Genomic DNA, 26,216 nt, shown 5'->3' with positions numbered 1-26,216 from the left:
TAGTAATTGGTAGAACTGGAATGTAAACCAGAAACTAGCTTCAGAGTTCATGCTCTCAACCACTGTGCTACACTGTCAAAATAGTAAACCAAAATCAATAGTACATGCAAAGGAAACTGACAGAAATTAGGGCCATCATCAAGACTCAGAAAATTAAGGAGTAGTGATCCCTATTACATTCCTTTTTGATGAACCTGTTTCACTAGAGAAGAATACAGAGGAAGCTTAAATTAGAAGTGGTATATATGGATTGGCCTTGAACAGGTTCTGGAGGCACAACAAAGGTACCTAAGCAGTGGCTCACACTTCCAGTGTGTTCACACCTGCCACACTGCCTTCTCTTTCGCAACCCACACTTACAGTTTCATGGGGACTGCTTTGGGCTGAGTTGTGTCCGTGCCAGATTCATATGTTGAAGCCCTAACCCCCAGAATCACAGAATGCGACTATATTTGGAGATAGGGTTTTTAAAGAAGTAACTAAGGTTAAATGAGGTCATTAGGGTGGACCCTAATCCAACATCACTGATGTTCTTCTAAGAAGAAGGGATTAGGACACAAACACACACATAGGGAATACCATGTCAAGACACATGGAGAAGACGGCCACCAATAAGCCCAAGAATAGAGGCCTTCAGAAGTGACTCAGTCCATTCCTGCCACTATGACAAAATACCTTAGACTGAGTAATTTAAAAATAATAGAAATTTATTTCTCACAGTTCTGGAGCCTGGGAAGTCCAAGATCAAGTTGACAGCAAGTTCGTTGTCTAGTAAGGGCCTGGTGTCTGCTTCCAAGACGGCACCTCGAACACTGTTTCCTCACATGGCAAAAGGGACAGAAGGGCAAAAGGGCCTAGCTAGTTCCCTCAGCCCTTTCACAAGGCACTGATCCCATCCATGACAGCAGAGCTCTCGTGGCCTAATCACCTCCTAAAGGCCTTACCTCTTAATACTCTTGCATTGGGGATTAAGTTTCAACATTAATTCTGGAGGGAACACAAACATTCAAATTGTAGCAAAAAGAAACCAATTCAGCTGACAGCTTGATCTTGAACTTCTAGCCTCCAGAACTGTAAGGAAATACATTTCTGTTGTTTAAGTCACCTGTCTGTGGTACTTTGTTATGGCAGCCCTAGCAAACTAATACAGGGACCTCTGTATAACCAGCTATTTGAAGAGTAGAACATCTAAACCTATTTTAGCACATTTCTGCATGACCTAAGGGCACCAGCCAGAGCACATTGTTGTAGATCACAGCCCCACACAGGGGTAGCCCGGAAGGTCACTGAAGAAGAGTCTTTTCTGAGAACATAATTTCAAGTGGTATATCTGGTTGTTCACTTTGCTTGGAAGGAGAAGTGGCCTAAGGTATGGCTCTATACCATATGGTTCAGGGACTTGGAATGAACAAAATTTATAGTATTGGTAACAAGAAGGTTTTGGGGAAGTGGTATGTGGTTGGACCTCTACTAATGGTAAATACATTTGTGTTCCATATAAGTGCCCAACAGAGGGCATCAACTGTGATGGAGGGTATCGATAACTATGTGAACAAGATTACTTGCATTAGAATGTCAACCTCTTTCCCCAACTATCTTGAAGCTTACTCAAGGGGCCAATGTACAAAATGCCCATGGCTGCAGAGATGAAGGCTCTACATGGGCTCAATTGCATGGGCTTCCCCTCACCACGGCTGATCATAAAAGTTGTGTGTCCAATCCCAACTTCCCAGCAGCAGAGGCCAATACTGAACCTCCAGTATATACCACTTCCTTGTGTGGGAGGGCGAGGGGACTACAACCAGCCATCTTGTGGCAGGCTGTTCATAAGATAATAACTTATGGGGCTGCTCTGCCTAAGGAGTAGCCATTCTTTATTCTTTTACTTTCTTAATAAATTTGCTTTCACTTTGCTCTAAAACAAAAGATAATAACTTATGGGACTTTGGGCATCCTTTTTGGGGGAGAAGTCAGGTTTGATTTGTTTTGGTTCCCTTCCATTGTGCAGGGGACTGCAGTATCAATTTGCTTTCCTTGACTGCAACACTTCAACCAGCAACACTTTCATGGGCGTATTCACAATTATGATATTTCATACCATACTGCTTATGAATAAAGAACTCATTTTATAGCAATAGGAGGTAAGAAAGGCCTAAACAGAATTCACACTAGTTGTACCTTATTCTTCATCATCTAGAATGGTATATTGCCTATTTAACATCCGTTTTCAAATATTTTCTTCCTGTCCCCTTGATTTTGTCCTCTGCTGATTTAGAGATCTGATTAAGGAAGGATAACATCTACCAGTAGAAAAAACAATCATTCCATTGGATTGGATGTTAAGACTTCAACCTACTTATTTTGAGCTATTTTTGTCACTGGACCAACAGGCAAAATATAGGTTTGATCGGTGTGATTGATCCTGGTCATCAAGGGGTTAATTGGTTGGTCTTACATAGGGCAGGCAGGTAAAACTATGAGACTCTGGAACTCCTCCTAATACTGTCATGTTCAATGGTAAATGTTAATAAAAGATTAGAGCCCTTGAGACCACAAGGGCTCAAGCCTCTCAGTAATGAAGCTTTATCTCAGCCCACCAGGCAAAGAGAATAAGATAGCTAAGAAACTGGAAGAAGGCAAGGGAAAATGGAATCGGTAGTTGAAGAAAGAAGTTACATAACTACCAACTATGTCCTTGTGACTACTTTCAGAAACAAGGTGGAAGTAGCTGTTCATATTTTTTTTTCCTTATTGTGTCTGCGTGTGTGTGTGCATGTGTGTGTGTGTGTGTGTGTGTGTGTAGGACATTTTCTTCACCCTGCCACTTTATATAAGATACTTTGATTGATGGTAGTTAAACTTCATAATCCAGTCTATAAATTACAGAGTATCAGTACAAGATTTTGATGACCTAAAGAGGAATAAACATTGTTCAACAATCCTGAATTTAGAGCTGGATTTAATAACTTATGAGACTTATGAGACTTTGGGCATCTTTTGGAGAGAAGTTGAGTATGATGTGTCTTCTACAAGGCATAGTTGAACTATGTTAGGTGGCAGCATGTTATTATTGCTGTTGTTATTATTTATAACTTTAAGTATGGAAAAAGAGTGTATAGGTACCTATGGTTATTTAAATGTAATCTGTTGCTAAAAATGTGTTGGATATCAAATTGTTTGGATAGCAGTGGCCTATATTTCATTAATTTAAATGGGAAAAATAATAATGTATTCACAGCTTATCCAAACCAATTTTCCCAAATGTCATTAAAACACTCTTTAAAAGAAATCACAGATGACACAAACAAATAGGAACATATCCCTTGCTCATGGATGGGAAGAATCAATATTGTGAAAATGACCGTACTGCCCAGAGCAATCTACAGATTCAATGCAATTTCCATGAAAATACCATCATCATTCTTCACATAACTAGAAAAAACAATCCTAAAATTTATATGGAACCAAAAAGGAGCCTGCGTAGCCAAAGCAATACTAAGCAAAACAAATAAATCTGGAGACATCACATTACCAGACTTCAAATTATAGTACAAGGCTATAATTATCAAAACAATACTGATATAAAAATAGGGATGTAGACCAATGGAACAGAATAGAGAACCCAGAAATAAAGCCAATTACTTCAGCCAACTGATCTTTGACAAAGTATACAAAAACATAAATGGGGAGAGGGCACCCTATTAAATAAATGATGCTGGGAAACTCACTAGCCATATGTAGAAGAATGAAACTGGTTCCCCATCTCTCACTTTATACGAAAATCAACTCAAGATAGATCAAATGCTGAAATCTAAGACCTGAAACCATAAAAATGTTAGAAGATAACATCAGAAAAACTCTTCTGAACATTGGCTTAGGGAAAGAATTCATGACTAAGACCCCAAAAGCAAATGCAACAAAAACAAAAATAAATACATGGGACCTAATTAAACTAAAAAGCTTCTGCACAACAAAAGAAATAATCAACAGATCAGACAGACAACCCACAGAGTGGGAAAAAATATTCACAAACTATGCATCTGAAGAAGAGCTAGTACTCAGAATCTATAAGGTACCCAAGCAAATCAGCAAGAAAAAAACAATCCCAACAAAAAGTGGGCAAATGACATGAATAGACATTTCTCAAAAGAAGATACCCAAACAGCCAACAAACATATGAAAATATGCTCAACATCACTAATCATCAGGGAAATGCAAATTAAAACCACAATGAAATACCACCTTACTCCTGCAAGAATGGCCACAATTAAAAAGTCCAAAAGCAATAGATGTTGGCATGGATGTGGGGGAAAAGGGACCACTTTTACACTGCTGGTGGGATATAAACTAGTACAACAACTGTGGAAAACAGTATGGAGATTTCTTAAAGAACTAAAAATAAAACTACCATTCAATCCAGCAATCCCACTACTGGATATCTACCCAAAGGAAAAGAGTAATTTTATGAAAAAGACATATACACTCGCATGTTTATAGCAGCACAATTTGCAATTGCAAAGATATGGAACCAACCTATGTGCCCATAAACCAACAAGTACATAAAGAAAATGTGGTATAATACACCATGGAATACTACTCAGACATAAAAGGGAATGAAATAATGTCTTTTTCAGCAACTTGGATGGAGTTGGAGGTCATTCGTCTAAGTGCGGTAACTCAGGAATAGAAAACAAAATATCATATGTTCTCGCTTATAAGTGGGAGCTAAGCTATCAGGACACAAAGACATGAGAATGATATAATGAGGCCAGGCGCGGTGGCTCACGCCTGTAATCCTAGAAGTTTGGGAGGCCGAGGCGGGTGGATCACCTGAAGTCAGGAGTTCAAGACCAGCCTGGCCAACATGGTGAAACCCCGTCTCTACTAAAAATACAAAAATTAGCCAGGCGTGGTGGCGGGTGCCTGTAATCCCAGCTACTCAGGAGGCTGAGACAGGAGAATCCCTTGAACCCGGGAGGTGGAGGTTGCAGTGAGCCGAGATCGCACCACTGCACTCCAGCCTGGGCGATAGAGCGAGACTCCATCTCAAAAAAATTAAAAAATTAAAGATCAAAATCATATCAAGTGCCTTTTCTGACTGCAATGATATGAAACTAGAAATAAGTAACAGGAGGAAAATTCACAAATGTGTGGAAATTAAACAACATGCTCTTGAGCAGCCAGTGGGTCAAATAAAAATCAAAAGGGAAATGTAAAAATATCTTGAGACAAGTGGAAACACAGCATACCAAAACATATGGGATGCAGCAACAGCAGTTCTAAGAAGGAAGCATATAGCAACAAACACCTACATCAAAAAAGAAGAAACATCTCAAACTACCTAATGTTACACCTCAAGGAACTAGGAAAAAGAACAAACTAAACCCAAAGTTAGCAGAAGGAAGGGAGTAATAAAAATAAGAACAGAGATAAATCAAATAGAGAATAATAAAGCTATAGAAAAATGAATAAAACTAATTCTTGAAAAAATAAAATTGACAAACCTTTACCTAGACTAAGAAAGAAAAGAGAAGACACACAAATAAATGAAATCAGAAAGTGAAGACGTGACAATGGATGCCTCAGAATTTTTTTTAAAAAGTATCATAAGGGACTATTTTGAACAACTATATGCCAACAAATTGGATAATCTAGAGGAAATGGATGAATTCCTAGAAACATACAACTTACCAAAATTAACTTAGGGAGAAATAGAAAGCCTGAACAGACCAGTAACAAATAAAGGTACTGAAGTGGCTATTAAAACATCCCAACAAAGAAAACCCCAGGAACAGATGGCTTCACGGCTGAATTCTACCAAGCATTCAAAGGAGAATTAATATCAATCCTTTTAAAAACTTTTCCAAAAAAAAGGACTAGGATGGAATACTTCCAAATTTATTTTATGAGGCCAGTATCATCCTGGTACCAAAGCCAGACAAAGACACAACAAGAAAAGAAAACTACAAGCCACTATTTCCAATGAAAATTGATGCAAAAAACCTCAATAAAATACTAGTAAACCCCATTCAACAACACATCAAAAAGATTACACATCTCGTTATTTAATACTTAATAAACTCACTAGTTTATATGTTTGCATGCAGTATGTAATACTATATACAATATGGAATATGAATTACACTCTCATTCCACACTGTAGCAAATACATTCTGTAATGGAAATATACCATCAAGATTTATGTCTGCATTTTAATTTGTTTCACTTTTTAAATTATCATGTATATAATGTCATAGTAATCAAACAGTATGGTATTAAAGAAGAGATAAACAAACATATCAATGGAACAGAATAATGAGTCCAGAAATAGACCTGCACTTATATGGCTAATTGGTTTTTTACAAAGATGGAAAAGCAATTGAATGGAGAAGGATAGCCTTTCAACAGATGTGTTGCTATAATTGAAACATCAATAGGCAAAAAGAAAAAGAAACATTGAACCTTGACCTAAAATAACACTTTATTTAAAAATTAATCCAAACTGGATTATACATCTAAATGTGAGACATAAAGCTACAAAAGTCTAAGAAGAAAACACAGGCAAAACGAAATCTGTGGGACCTGGGATTAGGCAAAGGATTATTAGGTAAGACACAAAAGCACAATCCATAAAAGAATTGATAAATTGAACTTTATCACAATTAAAAACTTGTGCTCTTAAAAGACATTGTTAAGAAAATGAAAAGACAAGATATTGTAGAGAATTATACAAGGCATGAGATTTTCCCCTACTTATCAAACAGTTAACCTGTTACTGTTTTGTGGATACTGGCAGAAGACATGGGACTCCTGAGTCAGAGACAAATGGCTTTATTACTTATGGCAAAAGCAGTAGCCAGGGCATCAGCATGATGCACATACTGGCTACCCATGTTCCCACTGGTTATCTGTGCTCCCCAAGTCTCACGTTGGTGAAGCAAATGACCTATCATGGATAGGGACACAGAGTGGGCTACATAATAGGGGATGAACAGTGAGCTTGGGGAATTCATTACTGTTACAGCAAGTGGAAACAAACCCTCTCTGTCTGAGGGAAGACATCATCTCATCCCTCAAGGCTGTTTTCAGTAATTCAAATACAATCTTGTGAAATGGCCAGGTAGAGAGCAGCTGGGGTCTTCCAATCTTGTCATAATCAGCAAAAATATGTGAAAGTATACCCACAGCCCATGGTGGATTGACTCTCTCAACAAGCCACCCATCAGTCCAACACATTCTTGGCCAAATATGGAATTATACATGAATACGTCACTCTGATTAATCTGACCAACAGAATCTGGGACCAAATCTGTTTAATTAATCTCATAAATCATTTTCAACAGAACTCCATGCTGCAGGATGAGGCCACCTTGCTGTAGTGACCCCATCCACACCTCGCAAAGTCCTGGTCTCATTTAACTCTGAAGAAATCCCATGAGGACCACTGGGTCTTCTTTCAAACAGTAAGAATGTGATCTAAGGCTAGTCTATTATCAACTACAACTCACATACAGAGTTTAGGCTCCCTTGATCAGCTTTGGTGTCATTGCCAATAATTATAAGGAGCAAGAGATGGGCCAAAAAGCAATCCCCATCACCAATGGAGAGACATTCTGTGGCCCACTCTCCCTCACATATAAACATATAATCCAAAGGGGCACAGTTCAGGATTTGTTGTCATCATTACATTGGTTTGATTAAGCCACATGGGTGGTGTCACTAAGTATTTATAGCCTCAATCTTCATACATGGTATAACCCAAGGCCATTCAGTTATCAAGAGAAACATATGGCCAGGCGCAGTGGCTCACTCCTGTAATCCCAGCACATTGGGAGGCCAAGATGGGCAGATTATGAGGTCAGGAGATTGAGACCACCCTGGCTAACACAGTGAAACCCCGTCTCTACTAAAAAAATACCAAAAAATTAGCCAGGCATGGTGGCAGGCGCCTGTAGGCCCAGCTACTCGGGAGGCTGAGGCAGGAGAAAAGTATGAACCTGGGAGGTGGAGCTTGCAGTGAGCCGAGATCGTGCCACTGCACTCCAGCCTGGGCAACAGAGCAAGACTCCATCTCAAAAAAAACAAAAAAAAAAAAAGAGAGAAAGAAACATATAACTTTGCATTACAGTGAAACGCTCTTGCACTGGATCATGTGTCCGTACATATTCACTTTACAGAGCTGTCATTGATGGCATCAGGCATAACAAAATAGTTCCAGATCAGTCATATCCACATAAGTTTTTCTGTTTTCATAGCACATAGAAGGAAATTACAAATTCAGCAGCAGGTCAGATTGCCAGCACAGCTGCTGCTTGGCTCAGGTGACAATCAGTGCTGGATCTAGAGGACAAAGAGAACATTAATTGCCTTGCCCCTGATCCTTGCATCTCCCAATATCTAAGGTGTTCTCTCCCAAAGTACCAGGGTCGGCACTTTCCCTCCACTGCCACATAATCAGTATGTCCCATCCGAGTACCTATAGCTTCACCTTTTCCCCACTCACTCCCCACTTGCCTCCCAATCTTGTATTCTGATCCTTGCACAGAAGGCAGCCAAGAGGTCACTTTTTGGGGACATCCACATTCAGTGACTAAATTGTCCTACTACTCTGTGTGGGCCAAGTAGAAGTAGGATCAGACATTGTTCCATCACTCAGCAATACCAGATACCAGTGGATGGTAAGGAGTGTGGAATGTTCATCAAGTACTTTGACTATCGGCTCATTACTGGGTGACATTTGAGAAAAAAAAAAAGGTTGCACCATTGTCAGACTGAAAATAGGTTGGAAAGCTGAAAACATAACATAGCTAAGACTCAGGAGCCTCAATGGTGTTGTTGGAGTTGGCTGATTACACTGGAACAGCAACATGTAAACTGAAACATTATTAAAAGTGAAGAGAACATTGGTAGCACTAAGGGAGACAGTCAATGTAGTAGTCACTCTGATGTAGCCAATCTGTCAGAAGCCAATAGGGGTCAATGCCCCCAAGCAATGTGGCCTCTTTTGTTGCAAGAAAAACAGGTCAACTTTTGGCAAGAGTCATAAGTCTGGCATGTTGTAGTGGCTTCTGCATCAGAAACATCAGGTCCTTTACTCTGTGCCCAGTCCCTGATACCAGATGTGTTGCCATGTGTGATGGCAGTCTGGGCAGTGTAGATTTGATCGTCAGCTTGAATTTAGTTGATCTCATCAGAAAGCAGGCCCTTACTTTGTGCATCTCTATGAGTGACCCACATTGTCCCATCAGCATCCACAATTTGTTTCTACAGTTACGATTCCAAAGAGAGGTGTCTTTAGTCTACCAGTCTGTAGTCTTTCTACTGTCTTTGAAAGACAAAAGTCTAGACCATTAGCAACAGTCGCACGTCAGTAAAAATATAACAAGTGTTATCAAGGGCAGTATTGGTCAGACTTATGAGAGCAGCCTTGAATTCTGCCCATTGAGTGGAAGTGTAATAACAGTGCAGTCAGGGCCGTTAATTTGGAGAATTCCAACTTGCCAACCACCAGGACATAATCTATACAGTGAAAGCTCTGGACATCAGAGAATAAAGGCACTCACAATAAATGCTGACCCCCACTCCACCCCCATGGTGGCAAATGGCAGGGGAGTTTGTCCCAGTAGTACTTCTCTGCTTGTGTCAGTGCCCTAAATGGGAGAATTTCCTCTGACGCTTTATGAACATTTCTAGTATAAGCATTTATCATATCAATTTCCTCCTATGTTTTAATAACGGTAGATTGAATTAGCATAGAGGCTCTCACCCATAAAGTCACTTTAACTGCTTTTCTTCACTGAGAGTTTTGCTCACACCTTATCAGTTGAGTTCAGATTTTTTTGTTCCCTGTGGGAACACAGACAAAGGAGTTTAACACTTGCACTTCGGGAGTTACAAAAGCAGCTGCCAGGAGTTTATCTCCTGTCCAGGAGTTCCAACTATGGGAGGGGGAATGGGAAGAGGGAAGAGTGCAGCCCATGAGGAGTGGCTGGAGCCATCAGGGAGGCTCCTAGCCTCAGGATGGGTGCCACCTCCTCAGGGACACTTATTTTCTGCCTCCTCACATGCCACAGCTCTACCCTGGATACCTCAATGCCAATGGCTACCTCTGTGCCCAGTGCCCTCTCCTGCCATAGGACTGGGTAGGATGATGACTTAGATGCCTGTTTCCAACCAACCCATACATGTTTGAGTTCCACCCTATCCCACAACCTCGTTCCTCTGCATACTCTTTTTTTGTTGTTGTTCTTTAAAGCACATGAAATCAGAATAGGGTGGCCGGGCACAGTGGCTCACACCTGTAATCCCAGCACTTTGGGAGGCTGAGGCGGGTGGATCACCTGAAGTCAGGAGTTCGAGACCAGCCTGGCCAACATAGTGAAATCCCGTCTCTACTAAAAATACAAAAATTAGCCGGGCATGGTGGTGGGAGACTGTAATCCCAGATACTTGGGAAGCTGAAGTGGGAGAATCGCTTGAACTTGGGAGGTGGAGGTTGCAGTGAGCTGAGATCACACCACTGCACTCCAGCCTGGGTGAGAGTGAGACTCCATCTCAAAAGAAAAAAAAAGAAAAAGAAAAAGAAAAAAAAATCAGAGTAGAGGAAGAGAGAGGCAGCAGGGTGTGTCGAGGGAGAGAGCAGCTCTGCCCCAGTAAGCAAGGCTTTTCGTTTACTTGCAGTTTGGAGTGGTTGCCCACTCAGGCTCACCAAATAAACTTCCAATGTTTCCCACCTACCTAAAGCTCTACATTCTCATTTCTGACTTTCTTTCAGCTTAGCTAACCCCTTGACTCAGCAGCCATAGCCATATTCTTTTCTAACTAGGGCTCCTAGGCTTACTGTTCCCATTGTCATGATAATATCCCTTCCTCTGCCCACCTGGAGGAGAGGGATCAAGGAATAAGGTACCAACGAGGTGGCTTGTTTCAGTCTTACTTATTCTCATTTAGTTTCTAACGTTCATGATCAGGTAATAGTGATACGGTTTGGCTCTATGTCCCCACCCAAATCTCATCTTGAATTGTACTCCCATAATTCCCACTTGTTGTGGGAGGGACCCAGTGGGAAATAATTGAATCATGGAGACAGTTTTCCCCATACTGTCCTCATGATAGTGAATAAGTCTCATGAGATCTGATGGTTTTATACAAGGAAACCCGTTTCCTTGGCTCTCATTCTGTCTCTTGCCGCTGGCATGTGAGACATGCCTTTCACCATCTGCCATGATTGTGAGGCCTCCCCAGCCATGTACAACTGTAAGTCCAATAAACCTCCTTCTTTTGTAAATTGCCCAGTCTCAGGTATCTTTATCAGCAGCGTGAAAACGGACTAATGCATGTAGTGTATTAGCGCGTTCTTGCCCTGTTACAAGGAAATAGCTGAGACTGGGTAATTTATTTATGTATTTATTTTTGAGAGACAGAGTCTTGCTCTGTTGCCCAGGCTGGAGTGCAGTGGCATGATCTCAGCTCACTGCAACCTCCGCCTCCTGGGTTCAAGCGATTCTTCTGCACTAGCTTCCCAAGTAGCTGGGACTACAGGCGTGTGCCACCATGCCCAGCTAATTTTTGTATTTTTAGTAGAGATAGGGTTTCACTATATGTTGGCCAGGCTGGTCTCAAACTCCTGACCTCAGGTAATCCGCACACTTTGGCCTCCCAAAGTGCTAGGATTGCAGGTGTGAGCCACTGCACCCAGCCTGGGTAATTTATTTTAAAAAGGGGTTTAACTGACTCGTGGTTCCGCATGATGCTGCCATCTGCTCAGCTTCTGGGGAGGCCTCAGGAAACCTACAATTATGGCAGAAGGTGAAAGGGAAGCAGGCATGTCTTAAATGCCTGGAGCAGGAGGAAGAGAGAGAGCGGGGAAGTGCTACACAGTTCTAAACAACCAGTTCTCGTAAGAACTCTATCATGAAAACAGCACTAGGGGGATGGTGCTGAACCATTCATGAGAAACTACCACCATGATCCAATCACCACCCAGCAGACCCATCTCCAGCATCAGGGATTACATTTCAACACGAGATTTGGGTGCAGACACAGATCCAAACCATATCAGGTAGGATAGCAGTGATTCCTACTCCTTCTCACTTCCCCACCATTTGGGCAAAAGAAGTCACTACTGGGTCCCAGGAAGTCTTCTTATATCCCCTAACCTGGCATGTGTGGGCATTCATTCTTTCTCTTCCAGAAATCTATGTCTCTATCAGTATTCCATCCATATTGCCAAAACTATCAAGCACTGTGCAGAATCTAAGATTTTATCCTACTTACAAATTGACAAGTTAGCCTGTTACTGTTTCATGGATGCTGGCAGAAAACATGAGACTACAGAATCAGTGACAAGGGACTTTACTATTCACTGTAAAAGAAATAGCCAGAGTTTGTATGATGCTTGTGCCAGTCTCCATGCACCTCAATCCCGTGGGGGTGATGTGAAGGGCCCATGATGGGTGCCTGCATATGCAATGGGCCTGTGTTATAGAAGAACACTGAGCTTGGGAGATTCACTGCTTTTATAACAAGCAGAAGCAAGCCCGTTCATTGCCTGTGGTGAGACAACTCACTCCTCAAGATTGTTCACAGCTAACACAACCCTGATAAATGGCCAGGGTAAAGAGTGGTTGGAGCCTTACGCAGAAAGAATGTGCAGGGATACACATGGCCCATGGTGAATTGCCTCTCCCAACAGATACAGATCAGGGAAAAATACTGCAAATCACATATCTAACAAAGCACTTCTATCCAGAATATACAAGGGACACTCAAAACACACTAAAAGAATAACCCAGTTTAAAAGTGAGCAAAAGGATTGAACAAATGCTTCACCAAAGAGAATATACAGATGAAAAATAAGCACATGAAAACATGTTTAGCATCATTCCATTAGGAAAATGCAAATTCCAACCCACTATTACATTCCACTACACACTTATTAGAACGACTAAAATTTAAAACAATTCCAAATGCTGGCAAAAATGTAGAACAACCAGAACTGTCATATATTGCTGGTGGGAACACAAAATGGTACAGCCACTCTGGAAAAAAGTTTGGCACTTTCTTATAGAGTTAAACATGCATATACCATACATGACCCAGCAATCTCACTCCTAGGTATTTACTTAATGAATTGAAAATTTATGTTCACACAAAAACCTGTACATGAATATGTATAGCATCTCAATTCATAATTGCTAAAAACGAGAAGCAACCCAAATATCATTTGACCTGTGAATGGATAAACAAGCACTGGTATATCTATAAAATGGAATACTATTCAGCAATACAAAGGAATGAACTCTTGATATACTTGACAACTTAAATGAGCCTCAAAGGCATTATGTTGAGTGAAAGAAGCCAGTCTCAAAAGATTGCATACTATATTATTCCATTTATAAAGCTTTTTGTGTGTGTGTGTGTGTGAGATGGGGTCTTGCTTTGTCACCTGGGCTGGAGTGCAGTGGCATGATCTTGGCTCACTGCAACCTCTGCCTCTCAGTTCAAGCAATTCTTCAGCCTCAGCCTCCCAAGTAGCTAAGACTGCAGGCACATGCCACCACACCCAGCTTTTTTTTGGGGGGGAATTTTTTTTTTAGATGAAGTTTTGCTCTTCTTGCCCATGCTAGAGTACAGTGGTGCAGTCTTGGCTCACTGCAACCTCCGCCTCCCAGGTTCAAGTGATTCTCCTGCCTTAGCCTCCTGAGTAGCTGGGATTATAGGTATGCACCACCATGCCCAGCTAATTTTTTGTATTTTTAGTAGAGACGGCATTGCATCATGTTGGCCAGGCTGGTCTCGAACTCCTGACCTCAGGTGATCCGCCCACCTCAGCCTCCCAAAGTGCAGGGATTACAGGCATGAGCCACGGCACCTGGCCTTTTTTTTTTTTTTTTTTTTTTTTGTATTTTTAGTAGAGATGGGGTTTCGCCATGTTGGCCAGGTTGGTCTTGAACTCCTGACCTCAAGTGATCCTCCCACCTCAGCCTCCCAAGGTGCTGGGATTACAGGCGTGAGCCACCATGTCCGGCCCTATATGGCCTTCTTAAAAGGACAAAACTAGAGTATTAGAGAGAATGTCAGTAAGTTGCTAGAGTGTAGTAGTTGGGGGAGGGTGTGACTATGAATGGATTATGAAAGAGAATCTTTTGGGGGAGGTAATAGAAATTTTTGTAATCTGATTGTTAAAATTCATAGAACTGTGTGTACCCGTCCCTCTCCCAAAAAACTCGGTGCCTATCCCAGCTTCTCTTGCCACTAAGGTGTAGACCTATGACTTAGGTTCTACCAATCAGATGCAAGTGTGCTAGGCTTTGATTTGAAGGTAAGTTAAATATGGACAGAGGCAGGCCACAGGGGCATCCACTTTCTTGGTGTGCAGCAGCAGACTCAGATTCTGGGAGCGAGGCTCATAGCAGCAGCTTCCTGTGGTAGTAGCAGATGAAGCATGGTTGTGAGCTCTCCCTGGCAACTCCATCAGAGTTGGCCCAAAAAGTCCAGCCTCCAGTTTGTTCCATCAGTTGTTCCACAGATTCTGTATTATACCTAATACCCTGTAATAAGTGTCTGCTAATTTAAACTAGTTAAGAGTGCATTATGTTGTCTGAAAGCAAGAACGCTAATGAACATATTTATGTACAACTAATGGTACTGCTCAATTCCCAGCCCATGTTTCTCATGGCCTGTTTCTCAGACTTACCATTTAACCATGAGAATCAGTTACTAAGCATGACAAGCAACCATTGCCAGAGGGAAACATCTGGATGTCATTTAAAATGGATAGAGAAGGAGTGGTGAGTCCTTACATGGCTTAGTACTCCAGAACAATTCTCTGGCACTTGAAGTGGTAAAATACTGATTCCAAGTAGACTGGTAGACTGATTGCAATAAAGGCCACAGAAGTTTCTCCCTTCCCTGGATGCTCAGCCCTTTGCACTGTGACTTTGCCACTCCTTCCTTCAAGAGATAGAGTCTGTTTCTCCATCCCCATGAATCTAGGCTGGCCTGTGACTTGCTTCAACCTATGGAATGTGGTAGAAGAAACATTTTGGGAGTTCTGAGACTATTCAAGAAGGTTTTGAAGCTTTCACTCTCATTCTCTTTAAACCCATATGGAGAAGGCTGAAAGTCTAATTTTTTCTGGAAGCATGAAACATATAGAGGCCTGTGAACCATACCACAACCAGAACTACTGAGCAATAGGTGAGGCCAGGCAGGTCCCGCACCTCCCCATCCCGCTGCCCACCTGCAAAGCTTGCCTAGTAAACACTGAGTTACCATCTGGATCTGATACACAGGATCAATTGCTCTAGGCCCTGGCTCCCTAGGGCACTGCATTGCTGGCAGCTGGTCAGGGACTGTTTTCCAGGAGGCAGAGAAAAGCTACTGAACCCCACGTTCAAATGAGCAGTCTACAAGCCACCCTCAGGGAAGCAGGGTGCAGAGGTGGGTCTGTGCCCTCTCCAACACACATCTTCCAAGCTGCCCATTGCCATTTTCTGAATTCTGGCTCCTTGTCAAACTCTCTTGTGTGTTCACACTCACCATAACTCCATTGTATAAGAGCATTAGCAAGTAGACCGGGCCGAGAGGCAGGTAAGGATACACAAGGTGGTTTGCCCAGGCTCTGCCCTTCCTGAACCACACCTTGGACCTCACATCCCACGAGAGGCAGCTCTATTCATCTTGGCCCAGGAGACCCCATCTGCTGTGTCTTGTGGGCTGGTGTTGGTGTCATACCCCACTGAAGCCTCATGGTCTACCGCCAATAGTAACAAGTACATAGATCTTCTAGAAACTACTGTGTCATTCAAATGGCATAAAGAAGGCATGTTCCACATAAAAAGAGGTGAGGAAAAATAATTGCACTGCACTTGATGCATTAATGCCGGGGGATTGGGGTCATTTTTTCTCTCATGCATTTTCCTTGTTGTTGCTATGAAGTTGTTATGCAGCAATTAAAAAAAAAAATTAGCTGTGAAAAGCATGTTCTCCTCAGTCAACACTTCCAGACCCAATGCAAGTCTACAATGACAGATGCAATCCTAAACGTAATTAACGTTACAAGCTCTGTCTAGAAGGTGTAATTAACCCTCCAGAGCTCACTTTATCTCTCGACTACTTAGGAATTCAAGGAAGAGCAGTGACAGGACTTTTGACGGAGGTATTTTAGAGGCTGTGGGCCATCCTCAACTCTTACAAATTTCCCACAATAAGAATACACATTGCATTTAAAATCCCCTATTTTGAGGCTTGAAGCTTCCCACCTATGGGTTCATGTAAGGATGGAAGTGGGTTTCAGGGCTTCTGCTCAGGGACTTGGGGTGATCATTTCTGTCTAATCCCATCAGGAACAATGACTTACCTTGGTGTATGCTCTCTGTGTGTGTGTGTGTGTGTGTGTGTGTGTGTGTGTGTGTGTGACAGAGAGAGAGAGAGAGAGAGAGAGAGAAAGAAAGAATGCATCCATACTGGGCCTGCTGTTCTGGTATCTGCTTTTGTGTGGTGAGATAAGGAACAGATCTCCTACTAGTCCAAGGCCACCTCAGCATTTCAGAGTTGCCACCCCAGAGAGAATGGTGTAGGAGTTGACTGTGCCCTTTACTAAATGTAAAATATCATCTTTATGGCAGCAAACTTCCTATCAGCCTCCCTTTACCCGGGCCTCTATTTCTCCCTGTTTCACAAAAGAAGAAACATGGTAGCTGATGAGCATAAAGGATAGAATTGTTGAAATTATCAGAAGCCAATGAGCATGTCCCTTACTATCTGTAGTATACTACCCTGTTTCTTTCCTCTATGACGCTTCCTCCAATCCATAACTACTTGTGTATCAGTTTACTTTGTTTCTGGCATGCCCTCATCTTTCTAGAATGTGAGATTAAAGATAGCAAGAACAATATCTGCATTACTCCCTCCTGGATTCCCAGGGATTAGCACAGTGCATGACAAATAATCCATGCTCAATAAATATTTCTTTTACATTTGATTTTTGAAGAGGTACAATTAAAAACAACCACAATGCAACAAGTTACCTGTCAAATTGGCAAAAATTTCAAAAGATATGAGCAGTGTTGCCAATGAGAGAGTCATAGCAGCATTCTCTCAGGATGCTAGCGAGACTGTAGTTGTCACCCCCTTTCTGGAAAATAATTTGACAATACATGCCCCAAACCTAAAAGGATTACATTGCTTCTGAGCCAGCAATTCCTCTTTTAGTTATTGAGAAGCTAAGCCAAGGAGTTCATCAATGATGTGCAAAAAATTTTAATCATGATAAATTATACTGTCCATGTTTTTAATAATAATTAAACATTAGAAAGATAATGTCACAGCCAGGCACTGTGGCTCACACCTGTAATCCCAGCACTTTGGGAGGCCAAGGCGGGTGGATCACGAGGTCAGGAGTTCGAGACCAGCCTGACCAACATGGTGAACTCTCATCTCCATTAAAAATACAAAAATGAGCCGGGCGCGGTGGTGGGCACCTGTAATCCCAGCTACTCAGGAGGCTGAGGCAGGAGAATCGCTTGAACCCGGGAGGCGGAGGTGGCAGTGAGCCGAGATCGTGCCATTCTACTCCAGCCTGGGTGACAGAGTGAGAGTCTGTCTCAAAAAATAATAATAAAATAAAAAGAAAGAAAGAGGCCCGGCATGGTGGCTCACGCCTGTAATCCCAATGCTTTGGGAGGCCGAGGTGGGCAGATCACGAGGTCAGGAGATTGAGCCCATCCTGGCTAACACAGTGAAACCCCATCTCTACTAAAAATACAAAAAAAAAAAAAATTAGCCGGGTGTGGTGGCAGGCGGCTGTAGTACCAGCTACTCGGGAGGCTGAGGCAGGAGAATGGCGTGAATCTGGGAGGCGGAGCTTGCAGTGAGCCGAGATCGCGCCACTGCTCTCCAGCCTGGGCGACAGAGTGAGACTCTGTCTCAAAAAAAAAAAAAAAAAAAAGAGAGAGAGAGAGAAAGAAAAAGAAAGAAAGGAAAAAAAGAAAATGCCACGAAAGAATATTTAAAATCTTGGAAAAGTTTTATTACAAAGTAGACAAGTACTACACTTAGTCAAAAAGCCAAGAAGAGATCAAAGTAGACAAAAAGCCAAGAAGAGATCAAAGTAGACAAGTAAACAAGATTTTATTATAAAGTAGAAACCAGATAATATGTAGAGAAATACCACATTAAATTTTTTTTATTTACATTTAGGTGGAGGGGGACAATAATGTAAACAAAATGCCATAAAGTCCTGAGTGGTTATCTGAGGTATGGGATATCAGGTGATTTTTATCTTCTTTTATTAGTTTATCTCTATTTTCCTTGTATTCCACATTTTTTTTTTTTTTTTTTTGGAGACAGAGTCTTGCTCTGTGGCCAGGCGGGAGTGCAGTGGCGCCATCTCAGCTCACTGCAACATCCACCTCTCGGGTTCAAGCGATTCTCTCCTGCCTCAGCCTCCTGAGTGGCTGAGACTACAGGTGCACGCCACCACGCCCAGCTAGTGTTGTTGTTGTTGTTTTGAGATGGAGTTTCGCTCTTGTTGCCCAGGCTGGAGTGCAATGGCGCAATCTCGGCTCACCACAACCTCTGCCTCCCAGGTTCAAGCGATTCTCCTGACTCAGCCTCCTGAGTAGCTGGGATTACAGCCATCCACCACCACGCCCAGCTAATTTTGTATTTTTAGTAGAGACAGGATTTCTCCATGTTGGTCAGGCTGGTCTCGAACTCCCAATCTCAGGTGATCCGCCCTCCTCGGTCTCCCAAAGTGCTGGGATTACAGGCGTGAGCCACTACGCCCGGCCCATACTTTTGTAATAAGAAAGAAGCAATTCGGGCCGGGCTCAGTGGCTCATTCCTGTTATCCCAGCACTTTGGGAGGTCCAGGCAGGAGAATTGCTTCAGCCCGGGAGTTCCAGACCAGCCTAGGCAACATAGTGAGACCGCGTCTCTACAAAAAATACAAAAAATAGCCGGGCGTGGTGGCATGTACCTGTAATCCCAGCTACTCGGGAGGCTGAGGCAGGAGAATCGTTTGAACCCGGTAGGCGGAGGTTGCAGTGAGCCGAGATCGCGCCACTGCTCTCCAGCCTGGACGACAGAGTGAGACTCCGTCTTAAAAAAAAAAAAAAGCAGCAATTTAAATTTACTAAACTAAAGCAGCTTTGCCCCCTAGTGGCTTGTTCATTAAACTGCGTTTATTTAGTCTGAGAAAAGAATGTCATCCTCTGAGATTGCAGAGCAGATACCACTGCAGGCTTTTGTCCCAAGGCAGAACTTTCTGGAAGATGTACTTGTCCTTTGGTAGGATAAGTGGTTATATCCTAGAGGAGCAGCCTCAAGCTGTCCCTGCCTTAGGATGCCTGGATAGTTAGGTTTGACAAAGGGGAGAAAGATGAGATTGGAATGGGGAGAACTCACTGTCACAGGAGCACCCTCCTGTGACTCAGGGTTTAATGGCCTGGCAAGGACACGTGGTGCCAGTACTAATATGCTGCTAGGATTGCTCCTTGAAGCTAGGGAATGGGGGAGTGGGGAGGAAGTGGGCATACCAGAACTGATACTGGAGAAGGTATCATAAAGCTCAAAATACAAGGTATGTGGATATGTGAGAATGGAGTTTGCTATGGTTTGGATCTGTGTCCCCACCGAAATCTCGTGATGAATTATAATCCCCAATGTTGGAGGTGGGCTGGGTGGGAGGTGATTGGATCATGGTGGTGGATTTCTCATGAATGGTTTAGCACCATCCCCCTTGATGCTGTTCCCGTGATAGTGAGTGAGTTCTTGCAAGATCTGGTTGTTTAAAAGCGTGTAGCACCCGCTACCCCGCTCTCTCTCTTGCTCCTGCCCTGAGCATGTGATGTGCCTGCTCCCCCTTTGCCTTCCACCATGATTGTAAGCTTCCTGAAGCCTCCCCAGAGGCCAAGTAGATGTTGCCATGCTTCCTGTACAGCCTGCAGAACCATGAGCCAATTAAACCTCTTTTATTTGTAAATTACCCAGTCTCAGGTATCTCTTTACAGCAATGCGAGAATGGCCTAATACAAAGTTACAAAGTGGGACCAGATCCATTAGACCACGGATCCAAACCATATCAAACTACCTCCTGACCATGTTCCCTGGGAAGGCTGAGAAGACATTCCTTCACCAGGAGTGCACTGGTAAGCAGACACGACAGCTTTTTTGAGATCAATAGTGGTTGTCTTCTGCAGACCAGAGAGACAGTAAGAGATGCTGTGGTGCAACTGGGCCTCCCAGTATCAATGCAGATTATAGAATTCCAGAATACAGAAGCCAAATGATGATATTTAACTGACCTAGGCAAGATTGAAGTAATCACCATAATGGGCCGCTATGGAATGGGCTGAGTTGTTGCCTCCCAAAATTCCTATGTTGAAGTCCTAACCCCCAGGACCTCTGGATATGACTGTATTGGGGATAGGGCCTTTCAAGAGGTAATCAAGTTAAGATTGCTAAGAGACAATCTTAGCATTGCTTTGATAGCACTGGTGAAATTGGACTGGATTAAAGAATGGTGTTGCTACTAGTTTTTAAATCTTCATGAATGAATGCTGAGTGTTGCTATTCATTATGTGAATGTTCTTAAGAAAGGAATTTTAGCATTAACGGAATTCCTGTAGGTACTTTACTAAGTCATAACCCATGCAGATACTTAGCAAGAGGCTTAGGGCAGAGATTTATTTGCCCTTGCTAGGGCTACAGTAAACATCTGTATAAGATTTTTTTTTTTTTTAAGACAGAGCGTTACTCTGTCACCCAGGTTGGAGTGCAATGGTGCCATCTTGGCTCACTGCAACCTCCGCCTCACGGGTTCAAGCGATTCTTCTGCCTCAGCCTCCTGAGTAGCTGGGACTACAGGTGTGCCACCACCACTCCTGGCTAATTTTTGTATTTTTAGTAGAGACGGGGTTTCACCATATTGGCCCGGCTGGTCTCGAACTCTTGACCTCATGATCTGCCCGCCTCAGCCTCCCAAAGTGCTGGGATTACAGGCATGAGCTATGGCACCCGGTCAAGATTATTGTTTTCTGTTGTAGAAGAAGAGGTTTCTGTTCTACACATATGGGCTGATGGACCTTGAATAAATTACCTAAGCATTCTGAATCTCTAAAAGTGTTGGTATGAGGAGTCTGTGAGTTAATCCAGGTAAAGTGTGGTGACTGGCAGAGTAAATGTGTAATAAATGGAAGCTATTAAAGTATTTTTATAAGATAATCTATTGCTATTATTAATGGTGGCTGAGGAGCAATTTCATATCCTTAAAACCACTAGCTCAGGAAACTGGTGGTCTGAAATAGGGAAATAGAAGATAAATTCTAGCCACAAATATTTGTTGAGATTCTAACTCATGCTAAGCTTTGAGGGAACAAAGAGAGAAAATGTGACCCATGCTCTCCAGGGACTCACAAATCTAGTTGTGGGGAGAATGGATGTATAGACAAAGAAAGAGAAAAGTTAATCCTAATTTATGCTACAGGTAATAAATAAATTTACTCTGTGTACGAATGTCCAGGAGAGTTTTCACAGAGAAAGATGACCTCGGCTTTGAAATATGGTAGGATTTGGACTGGCAGGGAACAGTGGGAAGAGTTTCTCAGGGAGAGGAAATGGCTAAGCAGAGATCCAGTGTCTGGAATATAATTGGGTGAAGTGGTCTGACTGAAACAAAGGGTTTGTTTCAGGAGACAGTAGGGGATAAGTATGGAGAGGCAGGTTTGAGAAGAACGTGAATCTCAGATAAAGAGTTGTGGACTATACCCTATAGGTATAGGTCCTTAAGGTAAAGGGGTGTGTGTGTGTGTGTGTGTGTGTGTGTGTGTGTGTGTGTGTGGTGTAATGGGATCCTCTTCAATGGAAAGCTATGTACATAATAGGGAAGGGGATCAAGAGTGCTAATTAATCACCTTCCCTACGGAATCTGAGCCAATAAAGAAATATATACAGGAGGGCCGGACGTGGAGGCTCATGCCTGTAATCCCAGAACTTTGGGAGGCAGAGGTGGCCGGATCATGAGGTCAGGAGTTCGAAACCAAGCTGACCAACATGGTGAAACCCTGTCTTTACTAAAATACAAAAATTAGCCAGGCGTGGTGGCACACACCTGTAGTCCCAGCTATTCAGAAGGCTGAGGCAGGAGAATCGCTTGAATCCAGGAGGCGGAGGTTGCGGTGAGCTGAGATTGCACCACTGCACTCAAGCCAGGACGACAAGTGAGAGACTCTGAAAAAAGAAAAGAAAGAGAGAGAGAGAAGGAAAGGAAGGAAAGGAAAGAAAAGAAAGAAAGGAAGGAGGAGGCAGCTCTCCTGGAGGCAGCTAGCGTGAGGCTGGGGAGCGCAGAGCTGCGTGTCATGCCCTGCGCTGCCCAGACTAGTGAACAATACAGTCAGGATGGCTAAAGGTGACCCCAAGAAACCAAATGGCAAGATGTCTGCCTATGCCTTCTTTGTGCAGACGTGCAGAGAAGAACGTAAGAAGAAATACCAAGAGGTCCCTGTCAATTTTGCAGAATTTTCCAAGAAGTGCTCCAGGAGGTGGAAGACAATGTCCAGGAAAGAAAAGTCTAAATTTGATAAACTGGCAAAGGTGGATAAAGTACGCTATGATCGGGAAATGAAGGATTATGGACCAGCTAAAGGAGGCAAGAAGAAGAAGGATTCTAATACCTTCAAAAGGCCACCATCTGAATTCTTCCTGTTCTGTTCAGAATTCCACCCCAAGATAAAATCCACAAACCCTGGCATCTCTATTGGAGACGTGGCAAAAAAGCTGGTGAGATGTAGAATAACTTAAATGACAGTGAAAAGCAGCCTTACATCACTAAGGCGGCAAAACTGAAGGAGGAGTATGAGAAGGATGTTGCTGAGTATAAGTCGAAAGGAAAGTTTGATGGCGCAAAGAGTCCTGCTGAAGTTGCCCAGATAAAGGTGGAAGAGGAAGATGAAGAAGATGAGGAGGAAGAAGAGGAGGAGGAGGACGAGGAGGATGAATTTAAAAACTGTTTATCTGTCTCCTTGTGAATACCTTAGAGTAGGGGAGTGCCATAATTTTTTGTTTTTGTTTTTGTTTTATTTTTGAGACGGAGTCTCACTCTTTCACCCAAGCTGGAATGCAGTGGCACAATCTCAGCTCACTGCAACCTCTGCCTCCCAGGTTCAAGCAATTCTCCTGCCTCAGCCTCCCGAGTAGCTGGGGATTACGAGCATGAGCCACCATGCCTGGCTAATTTTTGTATTTTTAGTAGAGACGGGGTTTCACCACATTGGCCAGGCTGGTCTTGAACTCCTGACCTCAGGTGATCTGCCCGCCTCAGCCTCCCAAAGTGGAGGATTACAGGCGCTGCGTGGAGCGCAGTAATGGACACATCTCTTATTTGAGAAGTGTCTGTTGCCCTCATTAGGCTTAACTGCAAAATTTGATCACGATCATATTGTAGTCTCTCAAAGTGTTCTAGAGATTGTCAGTGGTTTACATGATGTGGCCATGGGTGTCCAGAGCACCCTGAAACTGTATCAAAGTTGTACATATTTCCAAACTTTTTTTTTTTTTAATTGATCATTCTTGGGTGTTTCTCGCAGAGGGGTATTTGGCAGGGTCATAGGACAATAGTGGAGGGAATGTCAGCAGATAAACAAGTGAACAAAGGTCTCTGGTTTTCCTAGGCAAAGGACCCTGCGGCCTTCCGCAGTGTTTGTGTCCCTGGGTACTTAAGATCAGGGAGTGGTGATGACTCTTAACGAGCATGCTGCCTTCAAGCATCTGTTTAACAAAGCACATCTTGCACCGCCCTTAATCCATTTAACCCTGAGTGGACACAGCACATGTTTCAGAGAGCACAGGGTTGGGAGTAAGGTCACAGATCAACAGGATCCCAAGGCAGAAGAATTTTTCTTAGTACAGAACAAAATGAAAAGTCTCCCATGTCTACTTCTCTCTACACAGACACGGCAACCATCCGATTTCTCAATCTTTTCCCCACCTTTCCCCCCTTTCTATTCCACAAAACCGCCATTGTCATCATGGCCCGTTCTCAATGAGCTGTTGGGTACACCTCCCAGACGGGGTCGTGGCCGGGCAGAGGGGCTCCTCACTTCCCAGTAGGGGTGGCCGGGCAGAGGGGCCCCTTGCCTCCCGGACGGGGCGGCTGGCCGGGCGGGGGGCTGACCCCCCCACCTCCCTCCCGGACGGTGTGGCTGCCGGGCGGAGATGCTCCTCACTTCCCAGACGGGGTGGCTGCCGGACGGAGGGGCTCCTCACTTCTCAGACGGGGCGGCTGCCAGGCAGAGGGTCTCCTCACTTCTCAGACGGGGCGGCCGGGCAGAGACGCTCCTCACCTCCCAGATGGGGTCGTGGCCGGGCAGAGGCGCTCCTCACATCCCAGACGGGGCGGCGGGGCAGAGGCGCTCCCCACGTCCCAGACGATGGGCGGCCGGGCAGAGACGCTCCTCACTTCCTAGATGGGATGGCAGTGGGGAAGAGGTGCTCCTCACTTCCTAGATGGGATGGCGGCCAGGCAGAGACGCTCCTCACTTCCCAGACGGGGTGGCGGCCGGGCAGAGGCTGCAATCTCAGCTTTTTGGGAGGCCAAGGCAGGCGGCTGGGAGGTGGTTGTAGCTAGCCGAGATCACGCCACTGCACTCCAGCCTGGGCACCATTGAGCACTGAGTGAACCAGACTCCGTCTGCAATCCCGGCACCTCGGGAGGCCGAGGCTGGCGGATCACTCGCGTTTAGGAGCTGGAGACCAGCCCAGCCAACACAGCGAAACCCGTCTCCACCAAAAAAATACGAAAACCAGTCAGGCGTGGTGGCGTGCGCCTGCAATCGCAGGCACTCGGCAGGCTGAGGCAGGAGAATCAGGCAGGGAGGTTGCAGTGAGCCGAGATGGCAGCAGTACAGTCCAGCTTTGGCTCGGCATCAGAGGGAGACTGTGGAAAGAGAGGGAGAGGGAGACCGAGGAGAGGGAGAGGGAGAGGGAGAGGGAGAGGGAGAGGGAGAGGGAGAGTTTCCAAACATTTTTAAAATGAAAAGGTACTCTGCTGTTCCCCTCACTCTGTGCACTTTGCTGTTGGTGTGGGAAGGCACTTAATGATGTTTTTGGCTTTTTTTTTTTTTGTAAGGTGGTGTTAACTATATGGTTATTGGTTAGAAATCCTGAGTTGTCAACTGTATATATCTATAGTTTGTAAAAAGAACAAAACACCGGAGAAAAACTCTTGATGCTCCTTGCTTGGTGTTGAGGCTGTGGGGAAGATGCCTTTTGGAGGGGCCGTAGCGCAGGGCATACAGTGTAAGGCTGGACCTGTTGACTCTGCAGGGGTCATCCATTTAGCTTCAGGTTGTCTTGTTTCTGTATATATTGACATAGCATTCTGCTGCCATCTTAGCTGTGAACAAAGTGGGGTCAGCTGGCATGAGAAGTTTTTGGGTTTGTGTGTGTGTGTGTGGTAGTTTTTAAACTGTTTGTTTTAAAACAAACTATAGAACTCTTCGTTGTTAGCAAAGCAAAGAGCCCCTGCATCAATGAAAGTTCAAGAACCTTCTGTACTCAAACACGATTTGCAACATTCTGTTATCCTTTTGTATGTTTAGAATGCTGAAATGTTTTTGAAGTTAAATAAACAGTATCACATTTTTTTAAAAAAATGAAATATATACAGAATGAGATGGGAGTTAAAGTATGAGCTTTGCTAATATTAATGCTGTATTGGAGAACATAGAAGAGCCCCAAGGCCAAAATGGACATCCTACTTCTTCCTCCTAATTTAGACAGAATTAGCCATCCAGCCACAGGCAGGAGAAGCCATGACCTGGCCACAGAAGCAGGAAACAAAATATTTGCCATTTGTACAGACAAATGGAGCAAGAGGTCAGATCATTTATTTGCAGTGACCTTGAACATGTTAACCTGGCCCAGAACTGGGACCAATGAAAAGCAGACCATCCTAAGTATTAGTTACTCCTCCTCCTGTGGGGAGAAGCAAATAAAGGGTGGAGAGGGAGTAGAAATGTGCCTCCTAGGCTGGGCGTGGTGGCTTACACCTGTAATCCCAGCACTTTGAGAGGCCAAGGCAGGTGGATTACCTAAAGTCGGGAGTTCGAGACCAGCCTGGCCAACATGGTGAATCTCCGTCTCTACTAAAAATGCAAAAATTAGCCGGACATGGTGGTGGGTGCCTGTAATCCCAGCTACTCGGGAGGCTG

The 26,216-nt window shown here is 43.7% G+C and overlaps 1 pseudogene, besides 2 other annotated features; it reads left to right on the top strand.

Moving 5' to 3' along the window:
• Nucleotides 2,329-2,781: a transcriptional cis regulatory region, noted in NCBI's record as "candidate enhancer chrX.2259 targeted for multiplex CRISPR interference". NCBI's record gives its function as "positively regulates SMIM10 gene expression with high confidence in K562 cells {active_cell/tissue: K562}" and the evidence as "EXISTENCE:mutant phenotype evidence [ECO:0000015][PMID:30612741]".
• Nucleotides 22,358-23,062, top strand: HMGB3P31 (high mobility group box 3 pseudogene 31; annotated as a pseudogene).
• Nucleotides 23,399-24,200: an enhancer, noted in NCBI's record as "NANOG-H3K27ac-H3K4me1 hESC enhancer chrX:134094543-134095344 (GRCh37/hg19 assembly coordinates)". NCBI's record gives its function as "activates a minimal SCP1, AML or CMV promoter by ChIP-STARR-seq in naive H9 embryonic stem cells {active_cell/tissue: H9 hESC(naive)}" and the evidence as "EXISTENCE:reporter gene assay evidence [ECO:0000049][PMID:30033119]".

This window comes from Homo sapiens, chromosome X (genome assembly GCF_000001405.40).
Source record: "Homo sapiens chromosome X, GRCh38.p14 Primary Assembly".
Lineage (NCBI taxonomy): Eukaryota > Metazoa > Chordata > Mammalia > Primates > Hominidae > Homo > Homo sapiens.
This window is presented reverse-complemented; position numbering and strand designations above follow the sequence as displayed.